This window comes from Homo sapiens, chromosome 3 (genome assembly GCF_000001405.40).
Source record: "Homo sapiens chromosome 3, GRCh38.p14 Primary Assembly".
NCBI classification, from domain to species: Eukaryota; Metazoa; Chordata; class Mammalia; order Primates; family Hominidae; genus Homo; species Homo sapiens.
The window spans coordinates 47,059,127-47,083,431 of NC_000003.12; the positions used below are offsets into that span (position 1 = coordinate 47,059,127).

Consider the following 24,305-nt stretch of genomic DNA (forward strand, 5'->3'; position numbering starts at 1 on the left):
TTTTTTTGAGAGGTTGTCTCATTCTTGTCACCCAGACTGGTGTGCAATGGTGTGATATCAGCTCACTGCAACCTCCACCTCCCGGGTTCAAGTGCTTCTCCTGCCTTAGTCTCCCCAGTAACTGGGATTACAGGGGTGCATCACCATGCCTGGCTAATTTTTGTATTCTTAGTAGAGACAGGTTTCACCATGTTGGTCAGGTTGGTCTCAAACTCCTGACCTCAAGTGATCCGCCCGCCTCAGCCTCCCAAAGTGCTGGGATTATAGGCGTGAGCCACTGCGCTCGGCCGCAAATTTTTTGTTTTTTTTTTGAGACGGAGTCTTGCTCTGTCACCCAGGCTGGAGTGCAGTGGCGTAATCTCAGCTCACTGCAACCTCTGCCTCCCGGGTTCAAACAATTCTCCTGCCTCAGTCTCCCGAGTAGCTGGGACTACAATCATGTGCCACCACACCCGGGTAATCTTTGTATTTTTAGTAGAGATGGGGTTTCACCATATTGGCCAGACTGGTCTCAAACTCCTGACCTCATGATCCACTCGCCTCGGCCTCCCAAAGTGCTGGGATTACAGGCACAAGCCACCACGCCTGGCTGGGAATTTTTTAAGGTGATGGAAGTGCTCTGTATCATGATTGTGGTGGTGGTTACAAAACTGTATGCATTTTATTTATTTATTTTTTCAGACAGTCTTTCTCTGTCACCCAGGCTGGAGTGCATGGTGTGTTCTCACCTCACTGCAACCTCTGCCTCCTGGGTTCAAGTGATTCTCATGCCTCAGCCTCTCAAGTAGCTGGGATTACAGGCATGAGCCACCATGCCCAGCTAATTTTTTGTATTTTTAATAAAGACGGGGTTTCACCATGTTGACCAGGCTAGTCTTGAACTCCTGACCTTAGGTGATCCACCAGCCTCGAGACCCAGGAATTCAAGACCAGCCTGGGCAAAATGGAGAAACTCCGTCTCTACAAAAAAACCAACAAAAAAACCGGGCATCGTGGCACTTCCTTGTAGTCCCATCTACTGGATGGGTGCTGAAGTGGGAGGACTGCCTGAGCTGGTGCAGGTAAAGCAAGGCTGCAGTGAGCCATGATCATGCCACTGCACTCCAGCTTGGGCAACAGAGTAAGACCCTGTCTCAACAGAGACCTCATTAGACAGAGATAAGCATACTCAAAATTGTATCAATGTCAAGTCGCTACAGAATCATCTCTTTGGTGGGTAGGGTTCTAAGGAAGCAGATTTTAAAGAAGAGTAAAAGTCTGAGAAAAGACAAGATTTCCCAGAGGAAAACCAAGAAGGCAGTAGTGATTTGCTACCAAGACCTAATAGAAGCTACAGTCATCATGAGCCCCAGAAAGAGATCTTCCCATATATGAAAATTTGTGGGAGAGAGGCACCACTGCAGACAAGTGAAAAGGATGGGTTTTCAAGTAAATGGTGCTGGGACAATTGGGTATTAAATAAAACTGAATCCCTCCCTTATAATATATACAAAAATTAATTGCAAATGGATTAAGGATTTAATTCTCTTAAAATACAAAAAAAATCACCTCCTCAAGGGAGGATTTCTAAAAACACAATTTAAAAAACCATAAAGAAAACATACCATATATGACACATTCAGCTAAACCATAATTAATAAATTCCATGTATCAAAAGGTACAAAAAGTGTCAAAATACAAGCCGTAAACTGGGAGAAGATATTTGCAACAATTATCACCAAGACAAAATTATATTTAGAATATAAAGGACACATAAAACTAAAAAAGACAAATAATTCAATGAATGAACAACACATATAAGATACTTCACAGAACAGCCAGGCGCAGTGGCTCATGCCTGTAATCCCGCACTTTGGGAGGCTGAGGCAGATTACGAGGTCAGGAGATCGAGACCATCCTGGCTAAAATGGTGAAACCCCATCTCTACTAAAAATACAACAAATTAGCCGGGCATGGTGGCGGGCACCTGTAGTTCCAGCTACTCAGGAGGCTGAGGCAGGAGAATGGCGTGAACCCGGGAGGCGGAGCTTGCAGTGAGCCGAGATCATGCCACTGCACTCCAGCCTGGGCAACAGAGCAAGGCTCTGTCTCAAAAAAAAAGATACTTCACAGAACAGGAAACAGAAATGGCCAATACAAACCTATAGTAACCAAAACAACATGGTACTGGCATAAAAACAGACACATAGACCAACAGAACAGAATAGAGAATGCAGATATAAATCCACCCGTTTATAAACCAACTCAACTTCAACAAAGGCACCAAGAACTTACAGTAGGGAAAGGACAGCACCTTTTCAAGGACAGCACCTTACAGTAGGGAAAGGACAGCACATTTTCAATAAATGGTGCTGAGAAAACTGGGTAACTACATGCCAAAGAAAGAAATGGACAATAAATACATGACACGATGTTCAATCTATTTAGTAATTAGGGGAATGCAAATAAAAATCACATTACATACCGAGATACTTTAAAACTAAAAAATTCTGCCAAATGCAGTATATAAATGCTTTATCTCAATTTTTTAAAAAGCAAATTTAATTTAAAAAGAACTTGTCTGGGATAAATGTTTTCTAGCCTCCAGTAAACGATTACATGGTTTGTTTTTCTACCAGCATAACAAGAGAGCTTCTGACTAGATTTATTAAAAATCAGCATTTTAATTAGTATGGCACAAAACTCATAAGAAAACAAAGTTCTAGCTTTTAAAGAATAACCATTATCTTTGAAGACTTATCTCCCACCAACCCCCATTGCGCTCGAAAGAACAAATCTTTGGCTCCCAAAACGACATTTAAATATTATCAAATAGGAGCCATTCAAGAATCAAAACCTATTAATCTTCACAGCTACTACTACTGTCAACAGAGAATCTGTCTTAAGATTATCAGTAAAGTTGTATACTCACTCATCAAAATGCAAATACTAATTCCAAAAGCCCTTGATGTTCACAATCAGAAGTATATGACTTGGGTACTTTTTAACTTGCTCAAAACAAAAACAAAAACAAAAAAACTCACACAGGCCACTTACCTGTCATCTGGCCTTTTTGTTCCCCGCTCATAGGCAGAAGAGGGTGGTGAGAGGGAGCTTCTTCGTTTCCTTTTCTCTTTATTTTGAGTTTGCTTGTCTGGGTCTCTCTCTCTTGACCTATTAGGAGTCTTCGGGGCAGGTGTTTGATCTCTGAAGCCAACAGCATCCCTTCCTCGTTCAGTTGCTAAGGGAAAAGGGTGGTTTGTTTGTTTTTTTTTTTTTTAAGTTTATTTGGTGGACTTTTCTCCATCATGACAATGTATCAACTGTATAATAAAACTTCTATCCAACAAATGTATCTATGGACTCCTCCGTCATCTACCCAGTTCTGAATTTGAAAGAGATACAAGGTCTTATGTCTGTGTTCACTCTACTCACTAAAAGTCTCTTTCACAAATGCCCTTTTCTCCTCTTTCCCTCCAAAGACTCAGTCTAAGCCGTTAACATTTCTATAATAAGTTCTGTGAGCACATGCATGCAAGATATTCCCATTACATTTAGCAAGGCAGTTTACTTGCCAGTTCAAAAATGTAAAAGCCTTCAACTACCCTATAACTCTTCATATTTATAATCTATAGAAAAGCAGCCTGATGTGCTAAGCATAAGAACCTCAATGAGAAAAGTTTATTTTTTTTTTTAAAGGTACGCATGGTGGCTGTAGTCCCAGCTACTTAGGAGGCTGAGCTGGGAGGATTGCTTAAGCCCAGGAGTTCAAGGCAGCAGTGAGCTATGATTGCACCACTGCAGTCCAGCCTGGGCAAACGAAGCAAGACCCCATCTCTTAAAATTAAAAAAGTGGCTTATCAGGCAACATTTTAATGAACTACAGTTATCTCTTGGTATAAATGGGGGACTGGTTCCAGGAACCCCCTTCTCTCCATACCAAAATCTGTGCATACTCAAGTCCCACAATCCACCTCACGGAACCCACATATACAAAAAGTTGCCCCTCCTTATAGGCTGGTTTCATATCTTATGAATACTATATTTTCTATGTAGATTTGGTTGACAAAAAAATCCACTGTATGTGTGGACTTGTGCAGTTCAAACCTGTGTTGTTCAAGAGTCAAAGGTATAAATATAAAAGGAAAATATATCAAACCCAGGTGATAACTTTGGAAGTCATCAAAGCCAGAGAGCTACATCTTAAAAAAACATAATACCAGGCTGAGCATAGTGGCACACACTTGTAGTCCCAGCTACTTGCAAGAGGCTGAGGCAGGAAGACTGCTTCAGCCCAGGCATTCTAGGCTGCAATGAGCTCTGTTTACACCACTGCGCTTCAGCCTGGGCAACAGAGCAAGATCCTGTCTCTTAAAAAAACAAACCGACAAACCAAAAAATCAGAATGCCAGCTTCCTATTCAAAGATGGTATTAATAACCTTCTTAATTTACAGTGTCTCTCTTTACCTAGAATCGTTCTTAATCTCACTGTTTTCACTTACCCAATTCCATTCCAGTGCTCTCCAAAGCTGTCCTAAGTACTACTTTTCACTGATCACACCTCCTAGTTTCTCATCTCCTTAAGAAGTCAATCTCGGCCGGGCACTGTGGCTCACGCTTGTAATCCCAGCACTTTGGGAGGCCAAGGCGGGCAGATTATGAGGTTAGGAGTTTGAGACCAGCCTGGCCAACACAGTAAAAACTCTCCTCTACTAAAAATACAAAAATTAGCTGGGCACGGTGGCAGGTGCCTGTAATCCTAGCTATTTGGGAGGCTGAGGCAGGAGAATGGCTTGAACCCGGGAGGCAGAAGTTGCAGTGAGCCGAGATCGCGCCACTGCATTCCAGCCTGGGCGACAGAGCTAGACTCCATCTCGGGAGGAAAAAAAAAAACAACAACTACTAAATCTCACCACTAAACATTTCAGTATCAATTGACTGGCATAATATGCTGTTGCTTTGTGTATGTTAGTATTGCTCTCTTATTGAGAATTTCTCTCATAGGACAAGGAAGAGTCTCAATAAACATTTACTGCTTTTTCTTTTTCTCATCTCATAAAAATGTTCTATGGGTTGTTTTACTCCCTCAGCAACCGAGTTAGGTTTCATAAGCATTTCTCACAGTTCTTTTAGGTGGCCCAAAACCCCAAGTATTTGCAACATGGTTACTAAACTACAGCCAGGTATGAGCATTCGTCAACAAGAAGCTAACAGAACTCATTTGTACCACATCCGGGTAGAAAATGCAGTATAATTAAATTAAGTGCTCCAGTTCACAAGGTATTAGCACTATATCCTTTTATGAGGTACCATTATCCAGTTGCATCTGGATCTACCCACGTCTATCTTGCTTCCTCCTGCAAACCCAGGTTTCTTACCTAGTATAAATTTCCTTAAAATGTGACTATTTCTTCACTATACCCTGATAAAACAAAAAAGGAATCATACCAACAGTTCATATTCTGACTCTGCACCTTAGAATATGTGAGGCAGACAAGTCATTCCATTTATTCAGGCTGATTTCCTAATATTATAAAAATGAGGGTAAAGTTAGACTACGTATTTCCTGAAGTGTTTCACAATCCTTCCAAATTTTAAAGGTTCTATGCTTTGTTTGACATTAAGAAATGGAAACCAGGCTTATATATATTATATATATGTAAATATATATAAAATATATAAAATAATATAATATATAAAAATATAAAATAATTATAAGCATTATATATTATAAGCATTTTCTTATTTTAGAAACCTGAGACTGAGATGAAGGGTTCTACATGTGAAAGAGAGACTAAGGTCGGCAGAAAAGAGGCTACTCCCTGAAAAGATATAGTTGTTCATTACAGATCATCCTCTGCATCTCATGGATGCAAAATATTTCTCCACAATAATTTGCAAATATCTAGCCACACCAGACTAGATATTTACAAAATATTATGGAGAAACGCTCATAGGTATTTAAGCTTTGCTTGTGTGCTACTAATAGTTTTAACTCAGTGATCCCAGAAAGCTAGCTTCTGATAATCAACCCTATAGTGGTGCCACTGGTTTTGCCAACCACTATTGCCCAGTCCTGCCTTCTTTTTTATAGGAAGAGTTATTTGCAGCCCTAAGTAGAATGTGAGGCTATGAAGAGACTAAACCAGAGAGTGGAACTAAAAATATTCGAAAGACAAACAATGGTGCAAAGGTTATCTCACAGGTCTTTAACCAATAAGACTAAGATTATATAAAAAGTTATGCACACCAAAAATAAAAAGACAAAAAAAAAAAATCACACTGGCTTCTTCATTCTACTTTTAGTGGGTCAGTGGTGGAGGTACTCATGAAACCAATAACCACCATAAGTGACCCTATTCCTTGAATCTCTAAGTAAGTGTGCTGGAAGAAAGGAAGGAAATTCTTAAGGCTGGGCATAGTGGCTTACATCTGTGATCCCAGCACTTTGGGAGGTGGAAACAGGAGCACTTAAGGACAAGAGTTCAAGCCTAGCCTGGGTAACATAGCGAGACTCTGTCTCTACAAAAAATAAATAAATAAATAAATAACCAGGCATGGTGGCACACACCTATAGTCTCAGCTACTCAAGAGGCTGAGGCAAGAGGATTGCCTGAGCCCAGGAGTTCAAGGCTGCAGTGAGAGCTATGATGGTGTCACTGTGCTCAGCCTGCATGACAGAATAAGACACTGTCTCTAAAAAATAAATCAATAAATAAGTTTGTTGGAAATGTAACTAAGTGGTAAAGTCCAGAAACCAGATTCCCATGGCCTCCCTGCTATCCATTCTGAAACAATGATTCTAACTTTTTCAGGGGTGACTGAGAATCTGATCAAAGTTTTGAACTTGCCTCAGAAAAGTAAATACAGTCAACCCTTGAACAACATGAGTTTGAACTGGATGAAAGTCCACTTATATGTGGATTTTCTTCTAACTGTGCCACCCAAGACAGCAAGACTAATCCCTCTTCTTCCTCGTCAGTCTGCTCAAGGTGAAGATAAGGATGAAGACCTCTATGATGATCTATTTCCACTTAATGAAGAGTAAATATATTTTCTCTTATGATTTTCTTAATAACATTTTTATCTAGCTTACTTTATTTTAAGAATACAGTTACATAATACACATAACATACATAATATGAGGAGTCAAAAGTTATGTGGAATTTCGACGCACAGGGTATCTGTATCTCCTATGTTGTTCAAGGGTCAACTGTGTACATACAGAATTTTACATGTAAACATCTTTTTTCCTTTTAGAGACAGGGCCTCACTTTGTTGCTCAGGCTGGAGTACAGTGGCACGATCATGGCTCACTGCAGCCTCAATCTCCTAGGCTCAGGTGATCCTCCTACCTCAGCCTCCTGGTAATTAGGATTATAGGCACACACCACCACACTTAGCTAATATTTTTGTATTTTTTGTAGAGACAGGGTTTCACCATGTTTCCCAGGCTGGTCTCAAACTCTTGGGCTCAAGCAATCCACCTGCTTCAACTTCCCAAAGTGCTAGGATTACAGGTGTGAGCCACCCTGCCCAGCTGCATATAAATATCTTGAGGTAAAGACCCTCCCAAAGACATCTAGAAGTATAGGTTTAAGAATGTCTGCTCTATCTGGTGCGAAGGAAAAAAAAAATCAAAATCACAATAATAAAAGAAAAAAAGACTAAATAAAAAAAATAAAGAATGTCTGCTCTAGAGGACAAACGAATAGAAAAAAAGCTAGTAAAGACTGAGTTCAAGGAAAGCGACAACAAAACAGTGTAAGAGACATTTCCTTTGGCAAAATGCATTAAGAATAAAAGCACAAGTTTCCAAACTTTTACACCAAATATTTCATTTACCTAGTTATATATTCTCTAGTTTCAAAAACAAAAACGCTTAAGTTCTTATCAGTTACCTCTGCACATAACAAAAGAATATTTGTAAAGCCATCAACACAGAGTATCTCTGAATACCTACTTGTGTTTTCCTTTTCAGTTTGACTTTTCTTTGGAATTCGATATACCTCCTGCAAAAAATAAACCAGAGGGAGGGTTATTAGTGAGGGTGGAAATGGTGATTGCTTTGAAACTGACTGTTTTCACATGACAATAAAGAAATGGAAAGTAACAAGCTGGTACTTATTCTCTAAAATTTGACTTATATCTGGGCTTTAAATAAGAATATATCCTGGCCCCTTAAAAACAAGAAAAAATATATAGCAGAAATACATATATTTACATCTATCAAGCTTGTACGATCTCACTAGCAAAGCAGCATACTAAATGACTGGGCAAGGATACGCTTCCTGAGCATCTTTTTTTTTTTTTTTTTTTTTTTTTTGAGACAAGGTCTTGCTCTGTCACCCAGGCTGAAGGGCAGTGGCATGATCTCGGCTCACTGCAACCTCTGCCTCCCAGGCACAAGCAATCCTTCTGCCCCAGCCTCCCAAGTAGCTGGGACCACAGGTGGATGCCACCATGCCCCGCTAATTTTTTCTATTTTTGTAGAGATGGGGTTTTATCACATTGCCCAGGCTGGTCTCGAACTCCTGGGCTCAAGCAATCTACTCAGCCTCCCAAAGTGCTGGGATTACAGGCGTGAGCCACCATGCCTGGCCAAGTATTCATAATTCTAATGTGCACTTGCCATCTCTACTTAGAGAAAGAAAAGGTTAATAACTACCCAGTTATATAAAAACACTTCAGAAAAATTGTATGTGTAAAGACAATTCCTACTATTCAGTGTATTTTTCTATAAATGCAAAACCAACATGACTAATGGCCAATGTAATATCTACTTTCACATTGTGTTTGTTATAAAAAATAAAAAATATAAAGGATAAGCATTAGATCACTGCTCCTCTTGATCACTGTACCAAAATTGATCCTGAGAAATGTGAACTGTTTTAAAGGCTTTTAAGTACCTTTTCTTGTGTTATCTAAGGCCTAGAACCTATTTTGTTCTTTAACAGCTCTTCACTATTCCACCGTCCATCGAGTAACTATTGGGCACAATACTTTCTTATCCAGTCATCTTAAGTGGGACAGTAACAAGCCTACACACTCTCAATAGTACATAAGGTGATATCATCCCTTCAGAGGAATCTCATAATATTAACCACACCTGTGGCCTCCTCTCCACAATTGTTGCTTCTCACAATATTTGTGAAAAATAATAAGCCACATGTCACACAACTGAGGAAAGGTCATGATGTAATATTCAGTTGCCATTAAAAAGGATCAATATGGACTGCACAGATCCAGGGAAATCTATATAAATGAAAAATTTTTTTAAACCTCCAATACTATATGCATGCTGACAAATTAATAAAGATGATTATAATTAATTGTGCACTTATACTGTGTGCCAGATATCATGCTGAACATTTCAAATACACTATCTTTTTTTTTTTTTTTTTTTTTGAGACGGAGTCTTGCTCTGTCATCCAGGCTGGGGTAAAGCGGCACAATCTCAGCTTACTGCAACCTCTGCCTCCTGGGTTCAAGCAATTCTCCTGCCTCAGCCTCCTGAGTAGCAGGGATTATAGGCACACACCACCATGCCCAGCTAATTTTTGTATTTTTAGTAAAGACAGGGTTTCACCATGTTAGCCAGGTTGGTCTCGAACTCCTGATCTCATGATCTTCCCACCCTGGCCTCCCAAAGTGCTAGGATTACAGGCGTAAGCCACTGCGCCCGGCCTATCTTTTTGTTTTGTTTTGTTTTTTGAACCGGGGTCTCTGTCGCACAGGCTGGAGTGCAGTGGTGCGATCTCAGCTCATTGCAACCTCCACCTCCCAGGTTCAAGCGATTCTCCTTAGCCTCCCCAGTAACTGGGATTACAGGTGCATGCCACCATGCTTGGCTAATTTTTGTATTTTTAGTAGAGATGGGGTTTCATCATGTTGGCCAGACTGGTCTCGAACTCCTGACCTCATGATCTGCCCACCTTGGCCTCCCAAAGTTCTGGGATTACAGATGTGAGCCACCGCACCCGGCCCTTCAAATACATTATCTTATTTGAGCTTCAAAACGACCCTATGAGGTAAGTACTATTACCTCAATTTTCCAAAAAGGAAACTTACTTAAAAAGCTTAGCAATCTACCCAAGGTTATGATGCTACCAGACAGTCTAACTCAAGAGCACTTTTATCTTCTGTATTAGATGACACAGGACATGCCTAACAACATTATTTTGAGAAGGAGTACCATTCTGAGATTTATGCACAAATGCAGGTGACATCCTCCATCCCCTTAACCTCTCCTTCCTATGTAGAAGAACTTTCATTAGAGCTGTGATTCTCTACCCTGGTTGTACAATTAAACCACCCAAGAAGCGTTCATGGAAATACCACCCCAGACAAAGTGAATCTAAATCTCTGGATGTGGATGCCAGACATGCGTATTTTTTAGAAGCTCCTCAGATGATTCTGATGCACAGAGAAGGCTGAGAACTACTGAACTACTGGCTATTCTTATCCTCACCCACCCCTCCCCACAAGAGAGAATCTGGGAGAAAAAACTAGGTAGGCCTGCCCTCAGCTAAGAGACATCTGGGCTCTCTTTTCTCTTGATCTGCTTTTGCCTTTAGAGAGGGGGTACATTCCCATCTGCTACTATGAGGGACATCTGAAGTTACTGAGTTGTCAATTTCTAGCTGTGGGTAATACTGAATCAGGAATAAAGACAGGAAGGAGCAAGCTGGCACTCTTAGTTCTGTGTGTCTTACTCCTCTGTCTGCCTCTCAGAGGGGTTATTAGACAGGAAAAAGTAAGAACGCCATTTATTACCATCTACCCACACTATAAGGGAAAAAAGGTATTCTGCTAATTTTAAGAAGCTTGGAAATGACATTTGCATTAGGTACTCTGTAAACCTAGGCACTCCAAAAGACAGCAGGTTCATTCACAAAAGGTACTTAGAATTGGTGTATTGAGGGTCCCACTAAGAATAACACAATTTTGACCTAGTTTCTTTTGCATAATATCTTGGCATTATAAGCATTTATTACAAAAATTTAAAGTAATTTATTACATAGGCCTCAAGTTGGGGACCCACTCTGTAGCGGCAGTTAATGTACCACCAGAAACGCTTCTCAAAGATAAATTCTTAGTTACGTTCAAAAGTTTAGATCAACTACTAAGTTGAAAATGTATTTTGATGTTCACAAAATAATGATTACTACTGACTAATGACCAGGAGCTACTATTTACTGTGTGCCTAATCACATGAGAAACAATTTCTATCAATATGTACCTAAGCACTTGGAGCTGCTAACTTGATCCTCTCTCTTTCTAGTCAAGGCTACATACAAAATTTAAGCTGGCAACTCAAATTACCTACTGTCTCCTCCTTATTTTATATATTAAGAGAATGGGGTCCTGAAAATACAACTGAAGTTTTCCAAAGTCCCACAACATTGAAAGCTGAGAAGGAAGCAGCCACGCGAGGATAACTTTGACATTTCTTAAGATCATTCTGTCTTGTGAATAATAGTATTAGTCTCAGTGATACTTGAGTCTGTCTGGAATAATGTCACATCCATAGGCCACAGAGTCTGTTACAGAAAATGTTTAAATTGGCTTCATTCATGTTAACCCTTAATGTAAGATCACCTTACTTTGTTAAATATTCCACTCAAGAGACTGGCATACTATAACAGAAGATTTCAAAATGATAATTATATGATCTGCCAAACAAGGGAGAATAGAATAAGGACATTTTTCAGATCTATAAGGTCTCAAAATGTTATTTACTGGAAGAGAATACTGAAGACAATACTGTGGATGTTCTAAGATTTAATATTGTGTGTGTATATGTGTGTATAGCGATGGGGTCTTGCTCTGTTGCCCAGGCTGGTCTCAAACTCCTGGCCTCAAGTGATCCTCCTGTCTTAGCCTCCCGAAGTGCTGGAAGCCATCATGTCCAGTGCAGTGGTGTGATCATAGCTCACTGCACCCTCAAACTCCCATGCTCAAGGGATGCTTTGATCTTCAGCTTCCCAAGTAGCTGGCCTACAGGTGCGTGCCACTATGCCTGGCAGGTTTGATATTCTGTAAGTTAGGTTCTAGGACTGCTCTTGCCCTCAGACAGACCTAAAAGAATCTGCTTCCACACTCCATCTGATACTTTTTACATATTGTCCTCTTATTTCTTTAGTGTCTAGGTGCAAACCTCAACTAACACACAATTCATACACACTCAAGCTATAATTATTATGGGCCCATACTGTCTTATTCTTTATTGTATCTCTAGCACCAAGAACAGTGTCTGGCACATAATCAACACTCAATTCCTTTCTGAATGGACCAACAAGTGAAATTCTACTTCTAATTTATAGAAATCACCTACACAGTGCTACATAAACTCAAAATACTGCATATACCCTACGCTTTTATCCCTGGAAAGAACTACTGTTTAAAGGCCTCACCTACAGCCCAAAACATTGTGTTTCCAGGGTCAGAGTGATAAATATACATTTGAAATTCAGGAAACAGGCTAAAGCAAAAGATCACAATTTGGGGAAATTTAAGAAACAATAACATATAGTGATACTGCTGGAGATTGCCCAGACACAAAACATACAGAAAAAAAAAAACAAATAAAAGTAAAAGGTAGAAAGTCTTTAACTCGAAATAGTATGTTCCATATAGTATGTTTTCTATTAATAAACACTTGAACAAGTTACCTACTACTACCAGGTCACATGGCTTACTTTACAACGTTTTCTTATGACAGGCTCAAAAGGTACTCATTGGAAGCAATGCAGCACTTCATTAATACATCCCAAATAAACTCTAAAAATATACTGTAGAAACAGGATTAAAACAAAATTATTAAATAATTTATAAGAAATCTTTTTCTGACAAGAAAAAGGTTACCACTGGTTTAGACTGTTCCTGAGCTAAACAACACTTATAAGAACAAAATAATTGGTGGGGCGCAGTGGCTCACGCTTGTAATCCCAGCACTTTGGGAGGCCGAGGCGGGCAGATCACGAGGTCAGAAGATCGAGACCATCCTGGCTAACACGGTGAAACCCCGTCTCTACCAAAAATACAAAAAATTAGCCAGGCCTGGTGGCGGGTGCCTGTAGTCCCAGCTACTGGGGAGGCTGAGGCAGGAGAATGGCATGAATCCGGGAGGCGGAGCTTGCAGTGAGCTGAGATCACGCCACTGCACTTCAGCCTGGGCGACAGAGTGAGACTCTGTCTCAAAAAAAAGAACAAAATAATTTACAGGCGCAAGATTTCCACCTTTTGTTATATAGAGATCAGATTATCTGTTCTGTAATAACAGATTTATTTTTGAAAACTAAGACTAGATTTAGTTATTCCTTGTTAACAAGTACAGATCAAATCTCGTATAGGCCAACCAAACCTTTTTTCCTAAATATTTTCCTAAATGACAGCAATACTGAGAAAGAGAAAAAAAGACTGCAAGCAAGCCTGGGTGCAGTGGCTCACACCTGTGATCCCAACACTTTGGGAGGCCAAGGCAGGCAGATCGCTTTAGGCCAGGAGCCTGGGCAATATAGCAAGACCTCGTCTCTAGAAAAATGAAAAAATTAGGACCGGGCACGGTGACTCAAGCCTGTAATCCCAGCACTTTGGAAGGACGAGGCAGGCAGATCACGAGGTCAGGAGATTCAGACCATCCTGGCTAACACGGTGAAACCCTGTCTCTACTAAAAAAATACAAGAAATTAGCTGTGCGTGGTGGCGGGCATCTGTAGTCTCAGCTACTCAGGAGGCTGAGGCAGGAGAATGGTGTGACCCTGGGAGGCGGAGCTTGCAGTGAGCCGAGATCTTGCCACTGCACTCCAGCCTGGGTGACAGAGCGAGACTCCATCTCAAAAAAAAAAAGAAAGAAAGAAAGAAAGAAAAAAAAAAAGGAAAAATGAAAAAATTACCTGGGCATGGCAGCCCATGCCTATAGTCCCAGCCACTCAGGAGGTTGAGGCAGGTGGAGCTCTTGAGCCCAGGAGGTTTGAGGTTCCAGTGAGCTAAGATAGCACCACTGCACTCTAGCCTGGGTAACAGAGTGACATTCCATCTCAAAAAAAAAAAAAAATACTGTGAGTAAACTGTCACTTTCATAGCTAAAAGAACAGACAAAACGCAGTAGGAATGGATAAAAAGAAAGTAGAAAAGCAAAGCTATGGAGCCTAGAAGTTCAGGTGCCAACTTCAGGTAAAAGGCATTCTAGGAAAGAAGAAAATATTTTACAAAATTAAGCAGATAAATTTTCCAGAATTAAAGAAATATGAAATACTACTGAGCAATAAGGCTAAGAGGGCCAAAGGGAAAACAGAAGGATTATGACCTAGCAAGTCTGCACCTGAGTAGAGGGGAAGCGCAAGTAGGTCAAAGAGATTTGATTAGAAGATACTATACATGTCTGGAGGGTTTCATAAAAATCACATACATGGGTGGGAAAGAGGAAGAAAAGAGTGAGAGGGAGAAGAGGAAAAGGGGAATGAAATAATTTTGTTTATGCTTTTAAACCCCTGAAGAAACACTCTAACTTCGAATAGCAGGGCTCCGAAGAAATGAAAGGTAACAAGATCTGTGCAGTTTTCAGCCACTAAGAAAAATGGGTGAAGAATATGAACAAAGTTCTTAAAGTAGGAAATACAAACAGAAAGATGTTCAATACCTAATACATATGAGAAAAATTAAATCAAAACTGCAATATTCCATTTTTGCCTATCAGTCTGACCAAGATAAAACTTGACAGTACTTGTGCTGGCCAGGGGTGGTGAAATTCTCATTCTTACGTATATACACTGCCAATGAGAGCTGAATTGATATAATAACTATGAAGAGCAATTTGGCAATGCTTATCAAAATTACAACACAGACTGTAGCTCAACAACACTAATTTTTAGTAACTTAGCCAACATGCATATTCCTACGTGTGAATGTGTGCAATGACTTAGGTGAAAATTACTTGCTGCTAAGGCAAAGAAAGCAATCAACCTAAATGGCTATGAGAATGATTAAATAAATTATGGCATACCTATACAGTAAAATAATATGCAGTTCTGAAAAATAAATTCTTTATAAATTGATATCAAGTAATCTTCACATTCTATTAAAAAGGAGCTGAATAATGCTGCCAATTTTATTTTAAAAAATAAAATATATGCATAATATGCATAAATTATCTCTGGAAAGCTACACAAGAAACTGCTTGATTGCCTCAAGGAAATCAGATGGAAGCCAAGGGTAGGGAGGAAACATTTCACTGTATGTCTTTCATATTTTGCCTCATGTGCAGAAATAGCCTGTTTTTAAAACTAAAAAAGAAGAAGAAAAGATAAAATACCTCAGAAAAAGTCCTAGGCATAGTACCAAAGACTCTTGTGCATTATGGGTGTATTCTTGGTAAAGACCATAGCTACTCACAAGGCAACTTGTAAATGTTGTTCTTCAGTAAGTGCCATACCTAGAAAGTCCTCCTAGTTCACTGCCTCTATTTAAACTTGGTCCCCCAACCACCTTCTTTTCTAGCCTTACCCACCCTTCACTACAAAGCTAAGAGTAGGAGCCCTCCTGATACCCAAATCATCTAGAAACACTTTTTGAACCACAGTTCATTCCTTTCTCAACCCAGATATATACACGCCCCTGTTAGAGAAATTGCTTATATTTATGGACCCTCACCCCAGAAATGCTATAGTCTTACATGTAATTTTAGAGGTTCTAAACATCTCCTGAAGTTCAATTATGGATCACAGATTAAAAATCTCTGCAGTAGGCCGGGAACGGTGGCTCACGCCTGTAATCCCAACACTTTGGGAGGCTGAGGCAGGTGGATCACGAGGTCAGGAGATTGAGACCATCCTGGCTAACACGGTGAAACCCCGTCTCTACTAAAAATACAAAAATTAGCTGGGCGTGGTGGCAGGTGCCTGTAGTTCCAGCTACTCCGGAGGCTGTGGCAGGAGAATGGCGTGAACCCAGGAGGTGGAGCTTGCAGTGAGCCGAGATTGCGCCACTGCACTCCAGCCTGGGCGACAGAGCGAGACTCCGTCTCTTAAAAAAAAAAAAAAAAATCTCTGCAGTATTAAAGGAAAAAAAGATACTTGAACAAAACACTAAAATGGTTTCTATGACATTAGAATGAATTCAGACTTATTATAGTTTCTAAATCAGAAGCAGATTAAGAATGATCTAAAAAGGCTGGGCGCGGTGGCTCACACCCGTAATCCTAGCACTTTGGGAAGCCGAGGTGGGCAGATCACCTGAGGTCGGGAGTTCGAGACCAGCCTGACCAACATGGAGAATCCCCATCTCTACTAAAAATACAAAAAGAAATTAGCCGGGCGTGGTGGTGCATGCCTGTAATTCCAGCTACTCCGGAGGCTGAAGCAGGAGAATCGTTTGAACCCAGGAGGCAGAGGTTGTGGTGAGCCAAGATCATGCCATTGCACTCCAGCCTGGGCAACAAAATCAAAACTCCGTCTCAAAAAAAAAAAAAAAAAAAAAAAAGAAGAATCTAAAAAGTATTTGCCAAAGAAACACAATTGCATGAACTGCCTAGAAAAGACAGAGAAATAGTTATTTTTTGGACCAGAAAAGTGAGTGGAAGAAGGCAGTATTTAAATCAGAAGACATAAGTCAATTGTCAGCTGTCACTTAAAAGCTAAGTTACAACCTCATGGGCCTGTTTGATTCCACTTTACAGCTGATAAAAACACCACCACTTAACTTCACAGGGTTGAAAAGATAACAATGTGCTTATGAAAATATTTTCTGACCATCTATCAAATAAAAAATATGTTCTAGGGATTCGAGAAGCAGTATGAAAGAAAGTATGAAGTTACCACAGAAAAAGATGGACTTTCTTCATATTTTCATTCACATATTTTTGAAATGTCAAACTACATTACCAAGCTCTTCACAGGACACTGGGAAGACCCAAGTGACCAAGACATAAGCAGTCTCTTCCTTCACTCAATGTACCACTATAAAATGTTATCTGCCTTTGATTGGAAAAGATGTTGTGAGAGCCTATACAAAGGGCAAAACAAACACTCTATCTTGGAGAAACAGGAAAGACTTTCCGGGGGGGAAAAGGAAGAAATTTAAATGAGAAGAGACATCCAAAACAAAAGAGTTTTCAGGAATGAATGTATGTGTGTGAATATTAGCAGCAGAGGTCTACTGCCTGTCTACAATGGCTTGAGAGGAGACTGCAGAAATAAATGGAAACCAGACCATGGCCAGGCATGCAAGCCACGTTAAGAAAAATGAACTTAATTTCAACAGTGTAATGGTGAGCCATTTAAAAATTTTAAATAGGAAACTGAGATGAAGGATTTATATTTCCGAAAGATTGCTCTAGCTACTGAATGTAGCACAGATTATAGAGGGCACATAGTAGTCACTCACTATTAGTAAGAAGTAATTTATAATAACCATTACTGCCAAGATGCCACAATAAAAGTAACTCTTACTACAAAGATTAAAAAATTGTCCATGCCTTTGAAGAAAGCAATTCCATGGTCTAGTGAGGGGAAACAAGCATCTACACAAGAAGTTTTAGTAATCGGTTAAGATAATTACAGTTGTATAGAAGTACAGAAAAGGACAAAGCATGAACTGCAACTCATTCAAAAGAAAAAAAAGTATTCCAAGTAAGGAGAACAGTATGTTCAAGGACATGAAGAGGTGAATATGTATGAGAAGACTGATGTGCCTCATGCACTGAGTGTGTAAAGAGAAACTGCCTGCTAGGCAAGAAGTTTAGACAGATACGGAATTACTTTCTCTATCATACACTAAAGGCTTTGTTCTTAGAGTAATGGAGTCTCTGAGATGTTACTAGAGGTTCCTGTTAATCACATCTATGTTTTTAAAATACTGTAGCATAATGAAGGGTTACATGAAAGGGGAAAAGAATGAGAGCAAGAAGGATAAATGTTGTAAAAGTGTAAGTAAGAAATGGCAGGAGCCTGAATTAAAAGTGGCAAAGAAGAGATGCTGTGCCTTATTTATTTTTCGAGACAGAATCTCGCTGTGTCACCCAGGCTGGAGTGCAATGGTGCAATCTCAGCTCACTGCAACCTCTACCTCCTGGGTTCAAGCAATTCCCCCTCCTCAGCCTCCCGAGTAGCTGGGATTACAGGCACTGCCATCGTGCCCGGCTAATTTTTGTATTTTTGTAGAGACAGGGTTTCACCATGTTGGCCAGGCTGGTCTTGAACTGTTGACCTCAGGTGATCCACCTGCCTCGGCCTCCCAAAGTGCTGGGATTACAAGTGTGAGCCACCACGCCCGGCCTGCTGTGCCCTATTTAACATGTAGAACAAAATACATCTCAGGTACCCCAAGAAATACAACTTTTTAAGGGACAGGCAAAAGAAGAATGAACAACTGAGAGTTACAGAAGGAATCTCAAAAGATTCAAAGGAGGGTATGGTGTCAGATTAACAGATGGAAACAAATGATAGATAATAGAGTGGTGAAGTACATTGTGTGTACGTACATGTTAATTGATACACACACACATATATTTTATACAATCTACTGACGGGTCCTAGAAACACTGTCCTAGTATCGACAACTTCATCTAGAATCCAGATATTGGTTTCAAAAACATTTCCCAACGCGAGGAACAAGAGATTCTTGAAGAAATGACCAATTCCGGGGCTGGGGAAGGGACAGTACAAGATGAGCCTGGAACAGCATATTGTAGCAAAAAGGTAAAAGAAAATAATGGAGATATGTCAGAATGACACAAAAGCCAACATGAAAGGGCTTCTACTGGCCAAATATGGGACAATGAAGGCATCAAGTAAATAATGAAGTTAATGGATTATAATCTATTGGGTAAAATAAGAATCTATGAGTAAAATAGTATAAATCAATGAATGAACAAATAGGAGAACAAGTAAACTTCTTGCTTAAAAAAGAATGTCCAATAAACAAAGTAAAAGGAATAATGAATTAGAAAATCACCATTTGGCAACCACCACAGTAAGTAATTCAAGCAAATCACTGGATGCTAAATCTAATGGATACATTTTATGAAAAATAGGGTATTTACATATTTCCAAAGTTGCTCATATGTGATGCTTTTTAATTATAAAGGGAAAAATCGTAACTTTACACTGGAAAAGTCTGGCAGACTACTGCTTAATCGAGTGATAAAAGTTGACAATGCTAGTAATGGGACAATTCAGTACCATGAGAAGAACACTACTGTAATATTCCTGACCAAAAAAATGTATACCTGAATCCAAGCAAAGGAAAGTTTCAGACAAACCCAACTGCGGGGTATTCTACAAAAATTCAAAAATACTTTAAAATGTGAACTTTATAAAAAATAAAGGCAGACCGAAGAACTATTTCAGAGTAAAGGATACTAAGGAGACATACAACTCAATTAATGTGTGCTCCCATATTAGATTCTCAGCCTTTTTTTTTTTTTTTTTTTTTTTTTTGCTATAAAGGCCATTATGTGAACAACTGGCAAAATCTGAAAGAGGTCTGCTGATTAGATCATAGTATTTTATCACTGTGATTTGCTGATTTTGGTAAGTACACTAAAGTTACACAGAAGAATATCCTTGGTTTTAGGAAATACACAATATCCAGGGGCATCATATCTATAACTTAGTTGTTGTTGTTTTGTTTTGTTTTTTTTTACACAAAGTCTCACTCTGTCATCCAGGCTGGAGTGCAGTGACACCATCATGGATCACTGCAGCCTCAACCTCCTGGGCTCAAGCAATCCTCCCACCTCAGCCTCCCAAGTGGCTGGGACTACAGGCATGTGCCACCATGCCTCGCTAATTTTTTAGTTTTTGTAGAGACAGGGTTTTGCTTTGTTGCCCAGGCTGGTCTTGAACTCCTGGGCTCAAATGATCTGCCCACCTCTGCTGTAACTTACTTTTTTAAAGTTCAGAAACAGAAAACAATAAAAAAAATAAGGTAAAATGTTAACACTGGGGAATCTCAGTGAAAAGTTTAGAGGAATTTTTCACTGAATTTTCTCTAGACTCGTCACTAGAATGTGTGTAACATGTAGAATATGTACAGAATGCTGTTCTTGCAGTTTTTCATTGAGCCTGAAATTATATCATAATTAAAAGTTTAAAGTATTAAGAAGGAAAATGTATGTGTTTTCATTATGGTTACTATAAGACTTAAATTATACTGCCTACATCTATACTAAAACAGTCTCAAGTTTCTGACTTGGTCACAGTCCTAAGGGAATAACAATATTCCTTAATGATCACTTCTAGCTTGGAAATTCTATAATGTATACACCCTCCCACCTCTCAAGATAGTTGTACAACCAAATCACTTCCTAAACAGCATCAAGACTTTTTTAAAAAAACTAATTTCATGGGCAGCAATAGAAACATGATCATTATGTCTTTAGGGAAACAGAATTAAGAGCTCACCCAAAAGAGTAAAGTGAAAATGACTTCATTCAAAACCAGAATGTTTAGAGCAGCCAGATTCTGCACTTTATCTTTTAGATCAGATGTTGGCAAACTTTTTCTGTAAAGGACAAGATAGTAAATATTTTAGGCTTTGTGAGCCATCCAGTCTTTCTCACAACTACTCAACTCTACCACTGAAGTACAAAAGCAGCCACAGATGATAGTACATAAATGAATGAACATGGCTGTGTTTCAAAGAAAATTTTATTTACAAAAACAGACAGTGGGGCAGATTTGGCCAACCCTTGATTTAGATGAAAGTATTTGGTTAAAAAATGGACCAATAAATTTTAGACCATTTTTGCCTTCTACCAAACGAGACATTTATTTAAAAATTTCAATGTTGCTGTAGCTAAAACAGCATTCTTTAGGGGCAATTCTAATTTTGTTAAAGGATAAGTAATATTAATCCTTATGGATACAGAATAATCTTACTCTAGTAAGAATTCAAAAATTATCACAGAAATCCAGGAAACATAATTTCATTTTCAAATGTTGCACAGCAGATTTCACATACAATATTAGCGAGGGAGTGAAATTCCAAACAGTGACTCAAAACTTCTCAGTTTAGGCAACTCTATGTTTTATTTTAACTTTTCATAGAGAGTTTTAATACATAGCTTTCTAGGGAAATACTTGATTTGCTGAATTAAAGATAATGTCTTGAGATAAAGATGAAATAAGAGAAGAATAAGAATAGTCATTAGGAAGAGTTCAACTTATCACATGTAGGTAATTTTGTCCCTAAATCATCTAAATCCAGATGCAAATGGAAATACCCAGACTTCATTCTAAGGAGAAATGCACATCCTATAATCTAAGTGTTTATAAGAGAGGCTCTGGAATCACTAACCATTACAATCTCTCGGTGTTTAATGGCAAATGAAATTGCCAAGTTCACAGGAACCTTACCTCCTCTTCTTATGATCCAAATGAATGAAGATATTCCAGTCAAGTTACACTTAGTCACCACTGGTAACCAGCTGTTTTGCCCTATGAAGTCTAGGGTATATTTTCAGCATGAAGGGTGATATGCAACAATTTCTTCTGCAAACAGAAATATATGCACATATCCCTGCTGAAAATGTAGCCTAGTAAATTTTCACATGAAAATGAATACATGCTCACAAGTGGCAATGTGCTAGGTGATGTTTCTGGTTGAGGTCTACTTTAGGAGTCAAAATGTGTAAGCCTTGTGGAGTCAAGGCAGTGGTCCTGTGTATATAGGTATAGAAAAAGTAGCTCACTTAATCCTTTCTCGCCAGGAGTAGGGATTTTCCCGGAACGACATCCATTGTCGGCAATGGACGCACCAAAATAACGCCGGCGCCAGTGAGTTAACCACCTCTGTCCTCTTTTCACCTATTATATTTTTCATGCATCATCCAACTTCCCAACCATCTTCCTGTTTCTTCACAGAATGCACGCTAGGTTCTCGTTTTTCTTCAGCACGAAGTTGGAAATGGAGTTGAGAAAAGGAGACACATGGTCAGCTGGTGATGTTAACAAGCTCCTTGCTGCCCTGAGAAGCTAGATGGAAATGGTTCAAGTTACAAGGGGGATCATCATCAGATCTGGGAGGACAAAGAGTAATTCATGAAGCTTCATTCCCTTCCCTCCCACCCTCTTTCATTTACTGATGATTCCTATAGTCTGCCATCACAGCAAAACCAAGATTAAGGAATCTGAAGCAATCCCTTTCTGTTCTTCACTCCATCCAGTGTGTAGAAAAGCCAAGCGGAACACATGTCCACCAATGTTATGGTGGCCCCCGGTTGGCTGGGGAGACTTGAAATGGCCATAACCACATAACCACAATCTTAGACCAATGCTTTTTAGTACGATCTTGGAATTAAAGATCAGCAACTAACACAGTGTTTGACAATAGGTGCCTAATAAAGGTTGGTTGAATAAGACATTTTCTTTTCAGCCAATGTCTACTCGAACACATAGGTGGAAGTCAGACAGAAGTAGTTAACTCTTTCAATGCCGGGATCGTATGGATATACAGTAATCACATCATGTCAATGTGTTTCTCTAAAACATGTTCAAATTATGGATTCCTGATTTCAGACTTCTGGTTAAATGCTATCTATGTTTGTCTGGTTTTTTTAAGAACCACCATAATCAGAGTTTTGAAAACAGAGCCATAGTAAATGTTAATTAGAATGATGGATGAATTAAGAACCCCAGCACCAATGTATAACAAAACATCACAGTTCACAGTCAAGTAAAAACATTTCTCAGTAATACAATTCTAGATGGGTAATGATTCCAGAGCAAACTAAAGTTTGAAGAAGAGAGGAGAATTTTACTTAACGGCTCCCTTGACACTAAGAATCAGGAAAAATCCAAAGTATGAAGGATAAGAAGGATATATTTTAAGTACAAATAAAGTTTTAAACCTCAAATCAAGAGGATCATCAAGCTACATATAAAATTGCTTTGATGTTTCAGATAGGAGTGGGGAAGATAAGAAGAAGGGGAAGAAATAATTTTGTAGGACTCAAATGTGTGTCCAGAGTGTGAGTTTAAATTACCATGGTTACATCTAATTGGGTTAAGTATATCCTAGAGAGTAATTCATACCATCACAATTACAGAAACCCACTATCATACGAAGAAACAAGAATATTTACTTTTTCCAGATTTTAAGATAGCTTTACAATGATTACTTCTTAGCAGTTTTAAAAAATAACATCAACCAGAGACTTCTCCGGCAAAAGTAAACTACTGGTCTACAACCCTACTTATTCTTCCTTCCATAAAAGTACAGCTATAAAGGCCTTTTCTGTGTCCATTTGTGTACTTGTCTTCATCTCCACCTTCTTAACTGAGCTTCTTTACAGGCTCCACTAGCAGCCTCCAAACACAAGAGGGACTCCTTTTAGGGACTCCTGTGCTGTCACAAAGCAGGCCTTAAATAAAAATCCATCAAGTGACTATCCCAGCACTTCTTTCAATTAACTGCAATTCTGATTCCTGCAGTTCACATACTGACTTCATAAGTAAATTTACTACGAACTCTTCCTTTCATATTTAGAAAAAGGCCTGATTTCCTAAGACATAATAAGGCTGACTTTATACTGAATTGTAAGTGATGAAAGTAACATGAGTAAGAGCTCAAATGGGTAAACAAAAGCTGAAACCACAACATACTTAAAGAAGGGTCTCAACACAGCAAATGAGGAAGCATAGTACACAACCACCAACTACTCATTTTGCTCAGTGTTTAAGGCCAGTTTCATTGGGTCAAATCACAGGATCTAATGGAGTGAGCTTTGTCATCATAATTAGGGGCAGGGAGGATTCAGGTGTTCATCTTGCTGCAAAGAGTCAGGATTGCTGGTTTATTTGGTTGCTTCATCTCCGGCAGAAGAAAGGAGGAACAGAAAAATAGAAGCTAGTTAAGTAACCTGTTCCCACAGGGTCCTCAAGACGTGGATCCCAAGTCCAGATCACTTACAAATGAAATGTACCACACCTCTCCTAGGTTTATCCTGTTATTCATTCTTGTGTTTATCCAAGACTCAGTCTGGGTTTTCTGCAAAGCAAACCCTGCACATCTTGCTACATTCTTCAACAAGAGATTATGTATGTAATAGGCATAAGAGTTCCAGATCTATTTTTCCTCTTTTGTCCAAAGAAATAGGCATTTAAAAGCAGGCCCATTTCAGAAACAATAATAGAAGTGAATACGAACTAGTTCCATAAAGTTGTTTTTCTAAAATAAAAATTTACATTCAATCATTTTTAGTAAGCTGCTAAATTATCTTAGTTTTCCAATTATTTTTAATTTTCCATTAATACAACTGATTTCCAATAAATTTAAACACTAATTTTTTCTCATTACAAATAGAATCCTAAGTTTGCTCCTC

General features: G+C 39.1%; 1 protein-coding gene across 11 annotated transcripts in view, besides 1 other annotated feature; it reads right to left on the minus strand.

Annotated features, from left to right (window-relative positions):
- The window catches only part of SETD2 (SET domain containing 2, histone lysine methyltransferase), a 148,405-nt gene that overhangs the window by 42,691 nt on the left and 81,409 nt on the right, over positions 1-24,305 (minus strand). For 6 of the 11 annotated variants that reach the window (XR_007095670.1, XM_024453487.2, XM_047448045.1 and 3 more), the window contains 2 exons: positions 7,944-7,992; positions 3,037-3,220 (listed from right to left, as the gene is read on the minus strand). Coding sequence is in view for 5 of the 11 variants with exons in the window: in XM_024453487.2 (XP_024309255.1) it covers positions 3,037-3,220; positions 7,944-7,992 (233 nt within the window). In the remaining 6 variants the exon portion in view is untranslated. Of the gene's footprint in view, positions 1-3,036; positions 3,221-5,428; positions 5,505-7,943; positions 7,993-21,740; positions 21,958-24,305 lie in introns of those variants that run through there. The other 5 variants (XR_007095673.1, XR_007095672.1, NR_146158.3 and 2 more) reach the window with 4 other exon arrangements.
- Positions 8,291-8,896: an enhancer, noted in NCBI's record as "H3K4me1 hESC enhancer chr3:47108907-47109512 (GRCh37/hg19 assembly coordinates)". NCBI's record gives its function as "activates a minimal SCP1, AML or CMV promoter by ChIP-STARR-seq in naive H9 embryonic stem cells {active_cell/tissue: H9 hESC(naive)}" and the evidence as "EXISTENCE:reporter gene assay evidence [ECO:0000049][PMID:30033119]".